The sequence below is a fragment of the Homo sapiens genome, chromosome 13 (genome assembly GCF_000001405.40).
Source record: "Homo sapiens chromosome 13, GRCh38.p14 Primary Assembly".
Lineage (NCBI taxonomy): Eukaryota > Metazoa > Chordata > Mammalia > Primates > Hominidae > Homo > Homo sapiens.
Window position 1 is genome coordinate 60,026,903 of NC_000013.11, and position 20,503 is coordinate 60,047,405.

At 37.1% G+C, this 20,503-nt stretch overlaps 1 protein-coding gene, 1 long non-coding RNA gene and 1 pseudogene across 20 annotated transcripts in view; 1 reads left to right on the forward strand and 2 right to left on the reverse strand.

Moving 5' to 3' along the window:
• DIAPH3-AS1 (DIAPH3 antisense RNA 1) overlaps positions 1 to 17,455 on the forward strand; it is a 31,640-nt gene extending 14,185 nt beyond the window's left edge. For all 4 annotated transcript variants that reach the window (NR_109838.1, NR_046539.2, NR_051994.2 and 1 more), the window contains 2 exons: positions 15,779 to 15,887; positions 17,294 to 17,455. This is a non-coding gene — a long non-coding RNA (DIAPH3 antisense RNA 1). The remainder of the gene's footprint in view (positions 1 to 15,778; positions 15,888 to 17,293) is intronic.
• The window catches only part of DIAPH3 (diaphanous related formin 3), a 498,346-nt gene that overhangs the window by 361,320 nt on the left and 116,523 nt on the right, over positions 1 to 20,503 (reverse strand). For all 16 annotated transcript variants that reach the window (XR_002957478.1, XR_002957480.1, XR_941672.1 and 13 more), the window contains one exon: positions 15,788 to 15,918. Coding sequence is in view for 11 of the 16 variants with exons in the window: in NM_001258368.2 (NP_001245297.1) it covers positions 15,788 to 15,918 (131 nt within the window). In the remaining 5 variants the exon portion in view is untranslated. The remainder of the gene's footprint in view (positions 1 to 15,787; positions 15,919 to 20,503) is intronic.
• Positions 7,563 to 7,860, reverse strand: RN7SL375P (RNA, 7SL, cytoplasmic 375, pseudogene; annotated as a pseudogene).

Consider the following 20,503-nt stretch of genomic DNA (forward strand, 5'->3'; position numbering starts at 1 on the left):
AAACACAAATCTAGATGGTTTAAAATCAATACACAAAGCTTCTTAAAAGGAGAAAAAATACATTACTGCTCACATGTGACAAACTAACAAATTTTGTACCTTAAACTTGGAAGGTCAGCTTTAATACTGTATAATATCTAGATCCAATTTACATTCTTCTGTCAGAGTAATATATCACCAATGCTGAATATAATTATAGCTTATTTTAAGCTTTCATTTTCACCTACCTTTACCAAGGTGACTAAATACTTAAAATGAACAGTTCTAGGAGGGAGTACAAAGCACTTAGCATGCCCTGTGGGGCAAGACAAACATACACCTACATGCCATTCAATGGCCCATCCACCCAAATTACACTAAATTACAGAGCAAGGCTGGGAATTCAGGAACTATTATAAATAATGTTCAGATTGTAAAATCTACTAACCTTCAAAATACAACCACTAATATGTATATTTTCTTGAAATATACTTCTTAAAGAAACTGTATATTTAAAAACAATCATTTATTCCCACTTTTCATATCAGATAAGATAACACAGTAATAAATGTAGTATTCTCCTAGTTTCTTTTTGGCTATAACATACTGAAAGGCATAAAATATCTAGAGAAAGCATTCCAAATAAAATGAAAATAAAACCAGGTTAACAGGAATGATAAAAAAACAAAGCACAAGAAACAAGAGTTCTTGACCTTTAGATGAAAAAACAGTAAAACAAGTATGGATTTTAAAACATAGATACTGGTATGTGCTCTAATCAAAACTTAAGTCCACTATTAAAAGGAACATATTATAAAAAAGGAAATATCTTATTTGGAATGTGTTAAATATTAGTACACTAATATTTAACTAAAGGGCACTACCAGTACCAGTAAGTAGTTTCTTAGTATCAAATTAAACATCATTAGTTCAAGAAAGCACTAAATTATTCATTTTAAATATAGACTAATTTGCCAACAATATATGTGGAAAAGACGTTATGGTCACATTTCAGGCTTTTCACCGCTTGTCCCCACCCTAAATACTTGTCACTACTACCCAATGCTGGTCAGAGCAGTCCTAATTATTAAAACCCATGATCTTCCCTTGATTCTATAAATTTCATTGCTACTTTTGTGTGGCAATGCACTCATAATGCTCCCCTCCACAGAACTGCCTTTGTAACAACTGAAACAATTTCAGCTTTCAAGGCCAATTCACATTTCCTTCTTCTTTGAACTCTCGCTGATTTGATTTCTCCATGTGTTCACCAAGTTCCATTCACTTGACCTCAGATACCCCTCAAGTTAGTTCCCATTTCTCTCCTTTCTTTTATAGCAAAAGGTCTCAAAAAATTTCATCACAAGCATGGTCAGCACTTCTTGCCATCCATTCACTCAATCTCATTTCAGTCTGGCTTCTACCACCAAGACTCCAAAAAAATCTATTTTCTAAAAGGACGCCAACAACCTTCCTCTTGCCAGTTCCAATAATATCATCTTGCCCCACCTCATAGCAGCACGCTATGCAGTTTGTCACTCCCTTATTTTGAAACACTCTTCCTTTAGGTCCAGAAACCAGCATTTGGGGTTCTCCTCCCCACTGGCTACTCCTCAGTCTGTGTTTCTGCCTCCTCTTCCCTTTCTGGATCACCTATTTCTGGACACTTTCTGAACCCGGAGTCCTTCAGAACTTGTTCTGACCGCTCACCTGTATCTTTAGCTTCCTTCTCCATACAACCTGCCCACACTGGGATTGCATCCATTCTCAGGACTTAAATATCTCCACTCCACATATGTAAGCTCCAGACTCACACATCTAGGGGTTTGCTTGATGTCTCAAATTGTGATACTCTTTTAAACATGTCAAACTTAACATGTTAAAAAGGGATATTTTTGGCCGGGCACGGTGCCTCACACCTGTAATTCCAGCACTTTGGGAGGCCGAGGTGGGCGGATCACAAGGTCAGGAGATCGAGACCATCCTGGCCAACATGGTGAAACCCCATCTCTACTAAAAATACAAAAATTAGCCAGGTGTGGTGGCATGCGCCTGTAGTCCCAGCTACTCAGGAGCCTGAGGCAGAAGAATCACTTGAACCCAGGAGGCGGAGGTTGCAGTGAGCTGAGATCGTGCCACTGCACTCCAGTCTGGTGACAGAGCAAGACTCCGTCTCAAAAAAAAAAGGGGGGATTTTTTTTCTTCTCCAAAATTCACGGAACAAGTAACAACCTCCTCCACCCCAATTAACAGCACTACTATCTGCCTATTTGCTCAAGTAAAAAAAAAAACTGTTATTCTCGATTCCTCCTTTTCATTCACATCCTACATCCAATCCACCAACAGGTCCTACAGTTTCCACCTCCAATTTATCTGCAACATTCACCCACCCCTTGGCCCACCACTGCTACAATCCTTATACAAGCCACCCTCCTAATTCATGTGACTACTGCCAGAGCCTCCTATCTCACACCTTCTTGTCCACTCTCTCCTCCCTTCAATCAATTCTCCCTAATATGATTTGGGTCTCTGTCACCACCCAAATCTCACCTCAAATTATAATCCCCATAATCCCCACATGTCAAGGGCAGTACCAGGTGGAGGTAATGGGATCATGGGTGTGGTTTCCCCTATGCTAGTCTCTTGAAAGTGAGTGAGTTCTCACAAGATCTGATGGCTTTATAAGGGGAATTTGGCATTTGCCCTGCTTCCACTCACTCCATCCTGCCACCCTGTGAAGAAGGTGCCTGCTTCTCCTTTGCCTTCTGCCATGATTGTAAGTTTCCTGAGGCCTCCCCAGTAAAGCAGAACTGTGGGTCAATTAAACCTCTTTCCTTTATAAATTACCCGGTCTCAGGCAGTTCTTTATAGCAGCCTGAGAACACACTAATACACTTCCTGTGGCAGTTAAAGTGATCCTTTTAGAAAGTTAAGCCAGAATAGCTCATCTCCTGCTTGAAACTCTTCAACAGACTCCACTTCCACAGAATGAAAATCCAATAACCCTACCACGAGCTTTATGGCCATGACCTTCCGCATGGCCTGGCCACTGCCCACCTTCTCTGACAGCCTTTTGGATTCCACCATCCTCTCCTCTCTCCATCCCTCTGCCACACGGTTTTTCCACCTCATGTTCAGTACTACTGCCCACTCTTCTCTAAACTAGTTCCTTGTCCTTTGGTGTCAAACTCCACCACCTCAGAAAGACTTTCTATAATCAGCTAAATCAAAAAACCTCTCCATTAATTACTCTCAGTCCTCATTTTTTCTTCACTGAACTGATTATACCTTTTTGTTTTATTTATTTGTGTTCTAGGTTTCTCTCTCCTATATGCTTCTCTTTTACTGTGGTACCTAGCATAGCCCTTGGAATACTTGTTGCATATATAGATTACAAAATCCTGTGCTATATTTTAGTGGCATGTTATCCATGTCACATACTTAGGAACTTAAGAGCTTTATTCTTTCACATGTTAGATGTTTCTCTCTAAAAGGAATCGCAACAATTTAAGAAAAGAAATCCTTGCACCTCATCTAGTATTCCAAACAGAGAATACATAAAAACACTTGAAATACCTGCTCTCCTGTCTTGCAAATGAGCAGTACAGGCTCATGTATTTTACTTTATTTCAAGCATTAATCTCCTTATTCTGTTTTTACTATTCAAATCCATTTAACATGTACTCTGATCTTCTCTCCTGAGTCCCATATTAAGGCTTCACAATGATACAATACCGGGTCCCCTCCTCAGAAATTCATAGCACAGTGGAGAGAGCAGCCACACATATAGACTCAAGAGTACAAAGGCTCAAAACAAGTGCACAAGAAATGTTTTTCTGATCTCTAAAGATGTGTTGTCCAATAGGGTAGCCTCTAGACACATGTGGCTATTTAAATTCTGAATTTAAATCCTAATCACACTAGCAATATTTCAAGTGCTCAACAGCCACATGTGGTAAGTAGCTTCTGTAATGAACAAGACAGACATAGACCATTTTTGTCATTGTAGAAAGTTCTATCAGGCTTCTGTTCAAATGCGCTAAACTTCTACTTAGCCCTGCAGAGGGACTGCAGGTGATATCAGTGGCTCTAACATTCTTTTGGGTGTTTCTTTCATATTATTGTATTAGGCCATTCTTGCATTGCTATAAAGAAATGCCTGAGGCTTGATGATTTATAAAGAAAAGAGGTTAATTGGCTCGCAGTTCTGCAGGTTGTACAGGAGGTATGGCGCCAGCATCTCCTCTGCTTCTGGGAAGGCCTTAAGAAGCTTCTAATCATGGCAGAAGGTGAAGGGGTAGCAGGCATGTCACATGGCCAGAGCCAGAGTGTGTGTGTTGGCTGGAGAGGGGGTGGGGAGGCAAACTTGTAAATGATGAGATCTTACAAGAACTCACTCACTATCACAAAGACAGCACCAAGCCATGAGGGATCTGACCCATGATCCAAACACCTCCCCCAGGCCCCACCTCCAGCACTAGAGATTACAATTCACCATGAGATTTGGGTGGGGACAAATATCCAATCTGTATCAGTCTGCCCCAAGCCCCTCCCAAATATCATATCCTTTTCAAATTGCAAAATGTGATCATGCCTTCCTAATAGTCCCCCAAAGTCTTAATTCATTCCAGCATTAACTCTAAAGTCCAAAGTGCAAAGTCTCATCTGAGACAAGGTGAGTCCCTTTTACTTACAAGCCTGTAAAATCAAAAACAAGTCATTTACTTCCAAGATACAACGGGGGTACAGATATTAGGTAAACATTCCCATTCCAAATGGGAGAAATCAGCCAAAACAAAGGGGCTACAGGCCCTAAGCAAGTTTGAAACCCAGTAGGGCAGTCATTAAATCTTTTTTTTTTTTTTTTTTTTTTTTTTTTGAGATGGGGTCTTTCGCTTTGTCACCAGGCTGGAGTGCAGTGGCACGATCTTGGCTCACTGCAACCTCCGTCTCCCAGGTTCAAGCAATTCTCCTGCCTCAGCCTCCTGAGTAGCTGGGACTATAGGCACAGGCCACCATGCCCAGCTAATTTTTGTATTTTTAGTAGAGGCGGGGTTTCACCACGTTGGCCAAGATGGTCTCAATCTCTTGACCTCATGATCCACCGCCTTGGCCTTCCAGGCGTGAGTCACCGCACCTGGCCTGCAGTCATTAAATGTTAAAGCTCCAAAATAATCTTCTTGACTCTGTGTCCCACATCCAGGCCACATTGGTACAAGGGGTGGGCTCCCAAGGCCTTAGGTAGCTCTGCCCCTGTGGCTTTGCAGCGTGCACCACCCACAGCTGCTCTCAGATGCCAGCATTGAGTGTCTATAGCTTTTCCAGGTGTAGGGTGCAAGCTGCTGGTCAATCTACCATTCTTGGGTCTGAAGAGCACTGACCCTCTTCTCACAGCTCAACTAGGTAGTGCCCCACTGGGGACTCTGTAAGTGGTCCAACCCCACATTTCCCCTTGGTACTACCTTAGCAGAGGTTCTATGTGAGGATTCTGCCAGCCCCTACAGCAGTGTTCTACCTGGACACCCAGGCTTTCTCCATATATCCTCTAAAATCTAGGCGGAGGCTACCAAACCTCAACTCTTGCATTCTGTGCACCCACAGGCTTAACACCACATGGAAGTCACCAAGACTTACAGCTTGCACTCTCTGGAGCTGTGGCCCAAGCTGTACCAGGGCCACTTTGAGCTAAAGCTGGAGCCGGAGTGGCAGGGAAGCAGGGAGCAGTGTCTCAAGGTTGCACAGAGCAGCAGGGTCCCAGGCCTGGCCCTCAAAACTATTCTTCCCCAGGAGGCCTCTGGGCCAGTGATGGGAGGGGCTGCCAAAGGTCTCTGAAATGTCTTCAAGGTTTTTCCCTCATCGTCTTAGACATTAACTCTTGGCTCCTTTTTAGTTATGCAAATTTGTCTAGCAAGTAGTTGCTCCACAGCCTTCTTGAGTTCCTCTCTGAAAAAACCTTTTTCTTTGCCACATGGGCAGGCTGCAAATTTTCCAAACCTTTATGCTCTTCTTCCTGTTCAAATATAAATTTCTTTGCTCCAACATTGGAACATAGGCAATTACAAGAAACCAGGCCACATCTTGAATGCTTTGGTGCTTAGAAATTTCTTCCACCAGATACCCTAAATCACTCTGAAGTTCAACCTTCCACAAATCCCAAGGGCAGAAGCAAAATGCAGCCAAATTCTTTGCTAAGGCATACCATGCATGACCTTTGCTCTGGTTCCCAATAAGTTCCTCATTTGCATCTGAGACCTCTTCAGCATGGATTTCACTGTCCATATTACTATCAGCATTTTGGTCACAATCATTTAATGAGTCGCAAGGAAGTTTCAAACTTTCCCTTATTTCCCATATTCTTCTGAGCTCTCCAAATTCTTCCAACCTCTGCCCATCACCCAGTACCAAAGTTCCTTCCACATTTTCAGATATTTTTACAGCAAATGCCCCACTCTTTTTTTTACCAATTTTCTGCATTAAGCAATTCTTGCATTTCTATAAAAAAAAATCTGCATCTGGGTAATTTCTAAGGAAAAGAGGTTTAATTGGCTCATGGTTCTGCAGGCTGCACAGGAAGCATGACACCAGCATCTGCTTGCCTTCTGGGTCGGCCTTAGGAAGCTTGGTGGAAGGTGAAGGGGGAACAGGCACATCACATGGTGAGACCAGGAGCAAGAAAGAGAGTGTGGGCAGAGGTGACATACACTTTTAAATGACCAGATCTCATGAAAATTCACTCACTATTGCAAAGACAGCACCAAGCTCATTGGGATCTACTCCCGTGAGCCTAACGCCTCCCACCAGGCCCCACCTTCAGCACTGGGGATTACAATTCAACAGGAGATCTGAGCAAGAATAAATATCCAAACTATATCAATTATTATTTATGAAATTTAATATACAAGAAGCTGAAATAAACTGTACCTGTTCCTTTCAGACATATACTGCCCCTCTAATAAAAGAACTATTAATCCATCATCAATCTAATTGACGGAGTTTTACTCTTAAAAAGTTTTCTGAATGATAAAAATTAAAACTTCTTCTATTGTCAATGTGATGCCTTCCTTTGTATTAAGGCCTTTCTTCATGTATAGATATGTAAGGGAATACCAAGATAAACATCATCATTTTAAAAATCTTTTACTTAACCGACTTGGCAATACTCTAAGACATAATAACAAGCCCAGAAAATTAATCTAAGGAATAAACTATACTGATTCTTTGTATGTAGAGTACTAATAACTAGAGGCTTTAGTATCTGCAGTTTAATAATTTCTCTCATTGAAAATATTTATCTTTCAACAGAAACCAAAGAAACCAAAATATTCAGTTAATAACTTCATACTGATAGCTGTAAAGCCATAAACACATAAGGTTTACATTCTCAGAAAACAGGCATTAACAATTAAAAAGAAAGAAAGTTTATTATATTCTACCTTTATATCCATAAGAAACTGTAAAGTTTAATGAGTTTTTTTTTCCAAATTGTTTTGGTTTAACACTCTACCTTCTGTTGTTGTCTTTTAAACAGTAAACTGATAGTTTCAAATAATTAGGTTTGTTTTGTTTTGTTTTGCTTTGCTTTAAGAGGCAGGGACTCACTGTGTTGCCCATGCTAGAGTACAGTGGCTATTCACAAGCACAATCCCACTACTGTTCAGCATGGGAGTTTAATCTACTCTGTTTCTGACCTGGGCCAGTTCACCTCTCCTTGGGCAATTTGGTGATCTGCCGTGCTCAGGAGGTCACCATATTGATGCTGAACTTAGTGTGGACACCTGATTGGCACAGTGTACCACAGCCCAGAATTCCTGGACTCAAGAGATCCTCCTGCCTCAGCCTCCCAAGTAACCGGGACTACAGGCATGTGCCACCATGCCCAGCTCAAATAATTAGGTTTTAGTTACATTTTCTCCCCGTTATACTTAAGTATCAGTAATATAGGGTACAAAATCTATTTTTTAATAGAGTAGTTGAATTTAACTAATCTAGACATACATGAGCTCTCGTAGTTATATGAAACTGCGTTAAAAATGAAGATTTTGGATTCTGTGTCACATTGTGACTCACTTTACATGTTAACAGAATTTTTTTTAAAAAGTCAATCTTGGCCATTTAAACAGCTATATTTTAAATAAACTGGGAGATATATATGGCAGATATATATACCATATATATGTATATACGCCATGTATATATGTACAGCATATATAGATATAGATATAACTTTAAAAAATAGATTTGGAGCACTTTACAATTCCAGGCCCTCTCAGGTCAACTATAAATTGAGCTGAGTAGCTCTTATTTACCATCTATAGAATACACGTGTCTGTTAAAAGCAATTAATAAATTTTCCATGTGCTCTTTGTTTACTGTTAACCCTGTATTCAAAGCCAAAGCTTTTAAGATACAGATACACTTTGAAACCAAATATTTATACAACATTTTGCTACATCTATAAACCAAAAAAAAGCTATAGAATGAATGACGGTATACAAAAGAAGCAGCCTCCTACCCCTAGGGAACATTCAGTCTTCTAGAGGTCTCTTAGAGAAATGGTGCTAGGTTTGGAAGGACTGTGAAAGCATGAGAAAGTAATGGCTTGTCCTTTGAAAATGTAAAGTTAGTACTTATTTGAAAACATTAATAGTTACTTTCTTCCACGACATTTTTTCATTAATATTTCATCAATTTGACATGCTTTTAGAAAGGACAGCCACATGACTTAAAATTAGAAGGTATTTTCAACAAATATTTATTTAATAAGCAATGCTACTTGTCATAAACATTACAAACTCTGAATGGCAATTAAGAAATAATAGAAGGCATATTTGAAGATAGATGGCAGTGTCAAAACAATAAAGAACAATATTAATAACCTACCTAATACTTTTTGACTTCTTATTGGAAAGTAATCTTGAAAAAATGCCTTTAAGAGGTACAAGTAGGCACATCTCTCTAATGAAAACTCTGTTTAAAAAATGCATCCCGCTAATATTTTTAATTTACCAGAGATGTTTCTACAACTTCTATGATGTACTATATTGCTGATTCCCTCATTCCAGCTACAGGCTGTTACACCGATGACTGCCAGGGACCATAACTATAGCACTTCCTGTCAGACATACTTCACCTCTCCTTTTCTATTCCTTAATACCTGGTATAAAGCCCACTCCCTCCCTTAGCCTCATCCTGCTAAGCCAGCACTCTCTGCTGAAGGGAAACCTCCTTAGATCACTCTTCTATTCCCTTGGGACTCTCTTGAGATTAATGTCCAATCATCCTTGCAGATTTTAAAAAACAATCTTCAATCTGTCAGTGTTTATTTTCTTTATAATAGTCTCACCATCTGGAATATAACATTGAGAATGTAATAATAATGTAGTTAATATATCAAAGAAGTGGATATGCAGAACCAAGGCCCCTTAGGCAGCACTGTCTAATAGAATTGCTTACAATGACAGAAATGGCCTATATATATATATTGTCCAAAATGGTAGCCACTAACTACATGTGGCTCTCAAGCAATTAATATGTTGTTGTGTTTTTTTTTCATTCATTTTTAGTTAACTAAATTTAAATAGCCACAGGCAGCTAGTGGCTACCATATTGAATAACAGGAAAGAAAACAGAGCTGCCTGCATTACTTACCTCCGTGGTATCAATATCAAAGAGAAAGGAAGAAAAGAGAGAAAGAAAAACAAAGGAAAGGAAAAAGAGAAAAGAAATACACCCAATAAAACCTTTACTCCACCTGCCCCTTTCAGAAATTATCACTACTAGTATCAAAATGAATCTGAATATATCGTTAATTATCAAACACTTTTTAACCTAAGGTGAATTTTTAATAAGTTTTTATAACTTGTTAATCTAAAATTCTAAAACATGCCATGCAAATCTAAAAAACATATCCAGAATGGAGTAGAGAGAGACAAATAAATGCAAAGTATTAATGATAGAATAGGAAATAATAAAGTATAGAGCAAGATGGTCTAACATATACAAAATTAGAGGGGAAAAGGCAATACTTGACAAAACAATGGCAAAATTTTCACAGAAAGATACCCATCATATTCAAAAAGCCAAAGAAAATTCCCTATCAGAATAAAAAAGAAAGAAATCTCACCCAGACACGTAAAAGAAACTCTACAACACCTTAAGCATAGATATCTAAAACCCTCAATTGCATCTCAATTGCATGCCCTAGGAAGGCTATCCTTCCAAAGCAAAGGCAAATAGATATTTTGAGACGTTAAGTATAATAACAAAAAAAAAATTGTGGGTCAACCTGATTAAATATCATTTTTAAAAAAGATATTTTCAAACAGAATTTTGCCATCACACTCTCACTAAGGAATCTTAATAATATACTTAAAGCAAAAGTAAAATAATCTGGGGGGCGGGGACAAAAATCAAAAAGAATGATGTGTGTAGAAACATATATACATATACACACAGTTATAATATGACTCAATAATAGTAAAATCTAACTTATTAAAAGAAAACAGATACACTGAAATTTCACTCAAAACTAGCATACAAGTGAAAAAAGATTTTAAAGTATTCTTTGGTTCAAGAGAAGAGATATTGCTTACTTTTGTACCTTTGAAGTACATGCAAGTTAAATTTCTTTTTAAAGTGTGTTCATGTTAAATTTCTTTTCTAAGATTAGAATTAGATTAGTAAATGAGGAAAAATAAAATAAGAAATTAAATATCAATCCAAAAGAAGTTAAGGAGAATAAAGAGGAAGGATGAATATAGAAAAGGAAGAAGCAGAAAGAAGAAATGAGGAGGAGCAGGAGCAGTTTGGATGATGAACCTGGAAAAAGTAGCATAAATTAAAAATTCAAAATGAAACATCAGATATAAATTCCAACATATTTTCACAATTGATACAAAAAGTTAAAACTACCAGATAAAGACAAAGATTATCAGACGGGATAAAAAAATTATTCATATGCTATTTATAATAGATATTCCTAAAATACAAGGTATGAAAATGATTAGTTGGGAAAAATGTAAACAGCTGCACACATCAAGATGGATAAATCTATGAAACAATATTGAGAGGAAATACAACTCTCAGAAGAATGCATGGAAGATGACTGGTTAACATACAGTTCAAAAACATATAAAACCAAACAGTAGGTTAATTAGGAATATGTATATACTAAAACTATAATAGAAAGGAATGATAAACCCAAAACTCAGGATAGTGGTTACCACAGAATAGTAGGGGGAAGGGGTGTTTAGGAATGAATGAGGGTATAGGATTAAAAAGGGATGAAAGGAAGCTTCAAAGCTATAGGCAATATTATATGTCTCAGCCTCATTAGTAGGCAAGGAGATGCATGTTATATTGTTATGACAAATTGTCTTTTGGAAATGTTTAATATCTAATTTAAAAATTTAAAGTAAGTCAAAGTATTAGCAACTTCAAATTTCTGATCTTGAAAGACTTCCTCAGATCATGTTGATAAAAATGAGTACACTGATCTCACTGCTTGTCACAAGTTTTTCTGTCTTTACACATGTGACTTATGGTATGAACTAGATCAACTCCGAAATCAAGATGTTCCACCTGCTTTGTGTTTTTAATCCCAGAAATGAAGAAAAAATGGATTCCAAAAACGACACTTATTAAATGGAATAATGACATTCAAAGGCTGTTTACTTGTTTTCACGTAAACACATACATTTCTGCAAAATTTTCCAAAATGATTTTCTCAAAATTATAGTTATCAACTTAAGAATCTCTTTAGAAATCTAACAAAAAGATAACTTTATGAGAAAATTATTCTTGTTAATTTGAAAATGAAAATTTTAACTATGATTAATGGAAAATAATGCCTAAAATTTCAAAACACAAAAACCTGATAAGCCTAGATTTTGAGACAAAAAATCTTACCCTTGACAGGCACGTCAAATTAAGAAAATAAAGATACCTTCTATCACTAATTTGCTATATGCATAGATGAGTATGATCTATAAATGCTGATATCAATCAAAATGATGTTGCTGTCTACCTTTTTATGTTTCTACCCAAATGTATTCCATAATTCAAACATAATTATTGACTATGTCAAGATCCACTAAAAATAATATTTGATAATTTGAAGAAATTGGTCTTTTCCCTGGTGTTCAGAACTAGCTCAAAACTGTCACCGAGAATACTAGATAATCAATAAATAACAAATAGAAGATGTTTGTGATCTCTACATCAAATCTTCATAAAGCAAGGCAAATAATCTAGTATTTAGCATACTGATTTTCACATAATTCATAGAGAGTAAAAGGCTGACATGGCTCACAATTGCTAGGCAGTTTCAGAAGTTGAAGAGTGGCTCTAAAAATATTACATATCCAGAGCCAAGAGGGGAGAGCTAATTGGGAGTACAGAGGAGTCTACTTTTTCCTTGATTTCTTTCTCTTTTTTTTTTTGAGATAGAGTCTCACTCTATTGTCCAGGCTGGAGTGCAGTGGCATGATCTCAGGTCACTGCAACCTCTGCCTCCCAGGTTCAAGGGATTCTCGTGCTTCAGCTTCCCAAGTGGCAGGGAGTACAGGCATGCATCACCATGCCCAGATAATTTTTGTATTTTTAGTAGAGACGGGGTTTCACCATGTTGGCCAGACTGGTCTCAAACTCCTGGCCTCAAGTGATCCGCTCGTCTCAGCCTCCCAAAGTGCCAGGACTACAGGTATGAGCCACCGTACTCAGCCTTCCTTCATTTTTTATTTAAATAAATCCTGAACCTACACCAGCATTGGAAAACCATCAATCAGTTCAATTTTCTTTTTTGTTCTATTCAGACATTTTAAAAACTTTAACTCTAATTTACTTAATGATATTACAGGTCTAACAATGATCTCAAACTTAAGAAAAATTAGAAATTCTTTTTAGTCACATACTGTATAAAAATTAAAAACTGATTCAAAGAGCAGGCATATCATAACTAACAGGAAAGTCCAAAAATTTGATCACAGGCATAACTTCCAAGTTTTACATGTCCAGCTAAGTCATTTCTCTAATTGGAACACTGGACAAAGAAATATTCAAAAGTATCTTCTTGAGCCTGGCACAGTGGCTTACACCTGGAATCCCAGCACTTTGGGAGGCCAAGGCACGTGGATCATTAGAGGTCAGGAATTCAAGACCAGCCTGGCCAATATGGTGAGGCCTGTCTCTACTAAAAATACAAAAATTAGCCAGGTGCGCACCTGTAATCCCAGCTACTCGGGAGGCTGAGGCAGGAGAATCGCTTGAACTCGGGAGATGGAGGCTGCAGTGATCTGAGATTGCACCACTGCCCTCCAGCCTGGGCAAAAGAGTGAGACTCCATCTCAAAAAAAAAAAAAAAAAAAAAAAAAGGATCTTCTCAATTTTCTCTCTAAATAAAGTGGCATGATTTCAGAAAAAATTCTCCAATGATATTTTCTATTCTTTTCAATTAAAAAAAACTACTTCATGGATAACATCATGGATTCCTAATAACATATTCTAGAATTGTCCATCCTTAGAGAAAGAATTCCACCAGTTTCTAGTTTTTCTTCTTTAAATAAGGTTCAAATGAACAAGACACAGCATAATTTCCCAGTGTTTTTAGGTAAAATCACAATAATAACCCATTGTAAGATGCATGAATTCATATATAAAAACCTTCTATTTTGTTTTCTTTTGTTAGCACAGACATCTACTTTTGAGTAGATGAAGAGGAGAATAATAGTAGTAGTAAATAAAGGGTCTACTCCTCATTATATTGAAAAACTATGAATATTTCCAGTGCCCACTAGCTGACAGATAAACTGAGAAATGAGTGTGAATTGTCTCCCCAGTCAACACCCCCAATACCCTTTCTATGTTTAAACTCCATAGAAATACGATGTGAATCTGCTTTGTTTATTCAAGCCCCACACCCAACATACTACTGGAAAACAGCAGGTGCTCAATAATTTTTTTTTTCGCTCTCGCACTCAAGCTGGAATGCAGTGGCACGATGCCAGCTCACTGCAATCTCCACCTCCTAGGTTCAAGCGATTCTCCTGCCTCAGCCTCCTGAATAGCTGGGATTACAGGCGTCTGCCACCATGCCTGGCTAATTTTTGTAATTTTAGTAGAGACGGGGTTTCGCCATGTTAGCCAGGCTGGTCTGGAATGCCCGACCTCAAGTGATCCACCTGCCCCGACCTCCCAAAGTGCTGGGATTACAGGCTTGAGCCTGTAATATATATTTTTAAATGAACCTGGACAAATATATTTTTAAATGAACATATTCTACAGGCAAAGATTAAGCTGGACACCAAAGCTCTTCATTTATGAATATATCTGTCAAATAAATTCCCCAATCCATTCTCAGTTTCTAACACTAGCCAAGGTAAGACTAAAGAAGGCTAAAATTAAAACCTCATTGTTTCAATCAACAAATCTTTATGGAGCATTTCCTACATGCTAAACAGCGTGTCTGGTAACGCGAGGTAAATTACACATATGAAGCCCTAGTCTCATGCCAACCATTAGTCTGCAGTCTAGAGGACAGACTGGAAATGGCAAAATATGGAAAAATAAAGTTGAAATATACTAAAGTTTCTTTGTTGACTCATCATACTCCTTAGATAAATCTCACTCAGTCTCACATCTCAGCAGGTAAGGTTGTTTTCTTTTAAATACATGTACGGTCAAAGATTTCTGCATACTATATCCTAGCCACAGAAATGTCCAAAAAAGTAATAATCAGAGCAAATTCTTCTCCATATCATGAACCTCCAATTATAGTATGCAATTCTAGCCTTCAGAACACACACACACACGTATAGATACATGACTACATATACATATATTCTTATGCAGAAATAATCATTCATTTCTTACACAATAAAAACCCAAAACTGATCTACAATCCTTGTAGCTCTGAAATTCTCTGTTTCTGACTGTTTAGGTATTTCATAACAACTTCTGCTTGAATTTTTTCAAGAATACTCTTGTTTAGCCACCTACCTAATTCAGAGTTAGCAAATGGCCTCTGAATAGACTGAAATCTCTCTTTTTAAGCACCACAATTAACATACATGATATATTTCAGGTACATCTTCCTGATTTTTGTTTTTTTAACAAGTCTGTCTCCTACCATGCAATAATCTGACAAGTTTAAATATGTCCAGTTTATCAAAATATATTTACACTGATTGTTCAATTTTGTTCACAACTATTTCTTAGAGGCACCAAAAATTAGCCCCATTCCAAAACTGACTTATGGAAACACCTATGGTATTGTTTTCAGATAAAATACAGGATACAAACTTAAATTTGGACGTCAGATAAACAGTGTGTGTGTGTCTAGAATTGAATATTTCTGGTCATTCTGTACTTTTATTTGGTAAATATAGCAATACTAACCTATAGGCCCCTACAACGACATCATTTCCAACAACAGAAAAAATTAATTAGTGGTATTTCTTACTGTGTCAAATAAGATCAGCAAGTAAATATACAATGACAAAATTCAGGGTGAAACTCAGTCATATTAAATTAATAGTTTCTCACATGACAATTGTCTTTTAGAAAACACCTTAAGTTTCTAAAAATTCTATGTGGGCAAAAGGCTTTTTTACAGTCCCTGAGCAATGTACCACTCAGTAATAAATGCAAAAGGTACTATTGAGACTATATTTCTTCCTGCATATAAATATTAGGTATTCAGTTTGTACTTTGAGAAACTGTTGAGGTTTACCAGGCAAAATGAAAAAAAGTATTAAACTAAAAGAACACATTAATGACATCTGCCCTGTTGGTGTTCAAATAGATGAATTACCTCACAGGATTGCTGGTCAAAGACACTCGGAGAGACTCCAGGCATGTGACAAGTCTCTCATCTGCAGACCCCATTTTCAGCTCATGAATGAATTCCTGAGGTGAGATCTGTCGGCTTCTCTTAAGACTTCCCTATAAAATAAGTCAAAAAATGTTTTGATTAATACTGCATGGAGATTACCCATTAAAAAATAACAAGTTAATCTCCCTAACAGCAGCACATAACTACTATAATTAACACTATTTGGGCAAGGGTGGTAAATAATTTCCTTACTTCTGCCCAAAAATCTATGAATTCATAATGTGTGGTATCCACAAAAGATAGTAATATAACATCAGAAGGTGTGCAAATTGAAATAACTGCCTTCTCAAATGTAAAATGACATGGAGAACAATTGTATACTATAGAAAATATCTTAAAATACAGTAATATTTTTAGGCACACACAAAATAAAATTCAAAACTCAATACAAGAACTACCCTATTAAAATTAGTATTCTGAGCAGTGTAGAAAAGGCTATTAGGTATTAATTCATTCAACTATCACTATAAGCCTAGTTCTAGGCACTGTAGACACATGGATTAACAAAAAGCGAAGTCTGGAAGAAATGCAAGCAAGAAAATAATAATTTTCTTTACAGTCTAGTTCCTGTAACACAGCACCAAGAGACTCAAAGAAAGAACATCTAACTTGGCAGAACAGATCAGGGAAGCTTGCAAAACAGGGCTACATCTTCCTGGTTTTTCTTTTGTAAGTAAGCATTAGGGAGGCAAAGAATGAGAAAGGAATTAACTTCCAGACCAAAACATAACACACACGTACACATGCAGAGAAAAACAAAAACATATGCAACTGAAGACAGAGGCCAGATCATGGAGTGATAGAGCACTACTATGCAATTAGCTCTCCTGGGGAGTTTTGGAAGGATCACTCCAGTGTGAAATATGAATTAGAAGAGTTAGAGTTCACTCATTATTCAACAAACATTAAGTACCTACTAAATACTGGGCACTGTTTTAAGTACTGAGAATAGAGCAGAGATGAAAGAAGAATAAGAGATTGAACTTCCTACCTACATGTAGCTTTACTACATATGGGGAGAAACAGGCAATACATAAAATAACGAAAATGCATTGCACTGTAAATAATAAATGCTGTAGAGAAGAATAAAAGCAGGAAAGAGAATAAGTAGCTTCATATGAGACATGCAATTTTAAACAGGATGGTCAAAGAAAGCCTCACAGAGAAGACTTCAAAGGCCTCAAACTTGAGTGTTTAAATAAAAAGTCTGAAGGAGATAAGACAGCTAACCATGCATATACAGGAAAAAAAAATGCTGTGATGGAGGGAACTGTAGGTTTTACAGTCCACTGAAAGAACTTGGACTTTTACTCTGAGATCAGAAGCAGAGAGATCTGTTGAGAAGGTATCTATATAGCCTAGATAGGAAATGATGAGGATGGTGAACTAACAATAAAGTTCTGAATTATATTATTTGAATTACAGATTCACCATCCAACGGCAGGAAATGAATTGTGTAAGTTCAAAAGAAGATCAGGTGAAGTGGTACGAAATTCGGTGTTTTTCATGTTTTTTGTTTTTATTAATTTACTATAATGTTATTCAAAACAACATTCCCAATAAAGCAAAACAAATTAGCACTGTAAAGACGGGTTATTTTTATTCATGTCATTATCAAAGTAGTAATTTAATAAAGAAGAATTCAATGGTACAATCTCCGAAAATAAAAGGGGAAATGGTGAAAGCTATGAAAATGAACATCCGATTATTTTTACCGCAGTCACTGATATCATTCAAAGAACATATTCAACTTGTACCAACAGAGCACTTATTGATGTCTCTTTTTGCTCTGAATTACCAAAGGACTGATTGTTCAACAGAGAAAATTTAGAAAACACAGAAAAGCAACAGGAACAAAGGTGCCTCAAAATAACTACTGTTAATATATTTCTACATAAAGCATTTTTCTCATATATAGAGAGAATATTAATATATTTGCATATATTTATATTTTAAAACATATATGATATGGTTTGGCTGTGTCCCCACCCAAATCCATCTTGAATAGTAGTTTCTATAATCCTATGTTTTGGGAGGGATCCAGTAGGAGGTAACTGAATCATGAGGACGGTTACCTCCATGCTGTCCTCATGATAGTCAGTGAGTTCTCACGAGATCTGATGGTTTTAAAAGGGGCTTTTCCCCCACCTTCGCTTGGCACTTCTTGCCTGCTGCCATGTAAGATGTGACTTTGCTCTTCCTTTGCCTTCTGCCATGATTGTGAGGCCTCCCCAGCCATGTGAAACTGTGAGTACATTAAACCTTTTTATTTATAAATTACCCAGTCTTAGCTGGGTGCAGTGGCTCATGCCTGTAATCCCAGCACTTTGGGAGGCTGAGGCGGGCGGATCACCTGAGGGCGGGAGTTCGAGACCAGCGTGACCAACATGGAGAAACCCATCTCTACTAAAAGTACAAAATTAGCTGAGCATGGTGGCACATGCCTATAATCCCAGCTATTCAGGAGGCTGAGGCAGGAGAATCGCTTGAACCCGGGAGGTGAAGGTTGAGGTGAGCAGAGATCATGCCATTTTACTCCAGCCTGGGCAACAAGATTGAAACTCCGTCTCAAAAAAAAAATAAAAATAAAAATAAATAAATTACCCAGTCTCAGGTACATCTTATTAGCAGCGCGAGAAAAAACTAATACAATACACTTTACTTATTTAAAACATCGTTTGATACCTATTGTTCTATAGGCTATTATCTTTAAGCAATATTTCATGAACATATTCCAATTCAAAACATAAGCCATAAAGAATATGACCTCTTCCTGCCTACAGACTATTGCATTACTTACTTAATTAGTCCCTGGCTCTTGGGCAAGTAGGTTGTTTACAATTTCTTGATATCATAAATTTTTCAAGTTTCCTGTGTGTGCTGTCAGGCCAATATTTTTATCCAAAAATACAGCAGTGGAGGTTAACTAGATGATCTCTTGCAGCCCATTCTAAATTTATTACCGAAAAACTTGCAATTTGGGTAGGATCAAAATAAACCACAACTGAATAAATAGATTTTTTTCTTCAACAATAAGTAAGCTCCATGTAGCAAATACTTTTTAAGTATGAGAATAACCAGTAAGTGCATGTGGATAAGAACAAAAGTGATATTAAAAGATAAAAAACAAAAACCACCTATCCTACATCTTAGCCCTGTCTCACAAAGACAATAATTCTTAATTCCTTTAACAGTTTCTTCTGATAGTTGCTTAATATGTCTAATGTACCTGATATTTTTAGATTTCTAAATATTCATTATTACCTTTGATTTGTATTATGAAAAATAAGGATTTAATTATCTTCAAACATTGGAACCTCTTCTCTTCCAACTCCTGAATAGCAATAGGTAAACTCAATTGAACCAAAAGATGCCATTCCATGAAATGAGAGCTAACTGAATCCACATTTTATAAAGTCCTTACAGCTACATCCCTAAAGAGATGAGTTCAGGCATCCAAAAATCTTAATGCTTTAGTTCATTTTATTATCACTGAATAGGATATTATATGTCCCAATCATAAAATGCTCAATTACTGTAAGGATATAAACAGACACTTTTCAACGGAAGACATTTATGTGGCCAAAAGACATATTAAAAAAAGCTCATCATCACTGGTCATTAGAGAAATGCAAATCAAAACCAAAATGAGATACCATCTCACGCCAGTTACAATGGCGATCATTAAAAAGTCAGGAAACAACAGATGCTGGAGAGGATGTGTAGAAATAGGAACACTTTTACACTGTTGGTGAGAGTGTAAATAGTTCAACCATTGTGGAAGACAGTATGGTGATTCCTCAGGGATCTAGAACTAGAAATACCATTTGACCGAGCAATCCCATTACTAGGTATACACCCAAAGGATTATAAATCATGCTGCTATAAAGACACATGCACACGTATGTTTATTGCAGCACTGTTCACAATAGCAAAGACTTGGAACCAACCCAAATGCCCATCAATGATAGACTGGATAAAGAAAATGTGGCACATATACACCATGGAATACTATGCAGCCATAAAAAAAGAATGAGTTCATGTCCTTTGCAGGGACACAGATGAAGCTGGAAACCATCATTCTCAGCAAACTAACAACAAGAACAGAAAACCAAACACCACATGTTCTCACTCATAAGTTGGAGTTGAACAACGAGAACACATGGACATAGGGAGGGGAACTTCACATACCGGGGCTTTTCGGGGGGTTGGGGGGCTAAGAGAGGGATAGCATTAGGACAAATACCTAATGTAAATGATGGGTTGATAGGTGCAGCAAATCACCATGGCACGTGTATACCTATGTAACAAACTTGCACGTTCTGCACTTGTATCCCAGAAATTAAAGTATTATTTTAAAAAAAGAAAAAGGAAATACCTATAGATAAAACTACAACACATTTGTGGAAACTGAGGACAACCTACAAAAATAAACGTTATACCATACTCACAGAACAGAAGAATTAATTTTATTAAGAAATCCATTAAGTACATTTTCTGAAAAAAAAAATCCATAGATGCAATCAATGATTACCGTCAAAATCCCATCAAGTGTTTTGTAGAAATTGAAAACTACATTCTAAAATTTATATGAAAATAAAGGAGACCTAAAATAGGAAAAACAATTGTGATAAA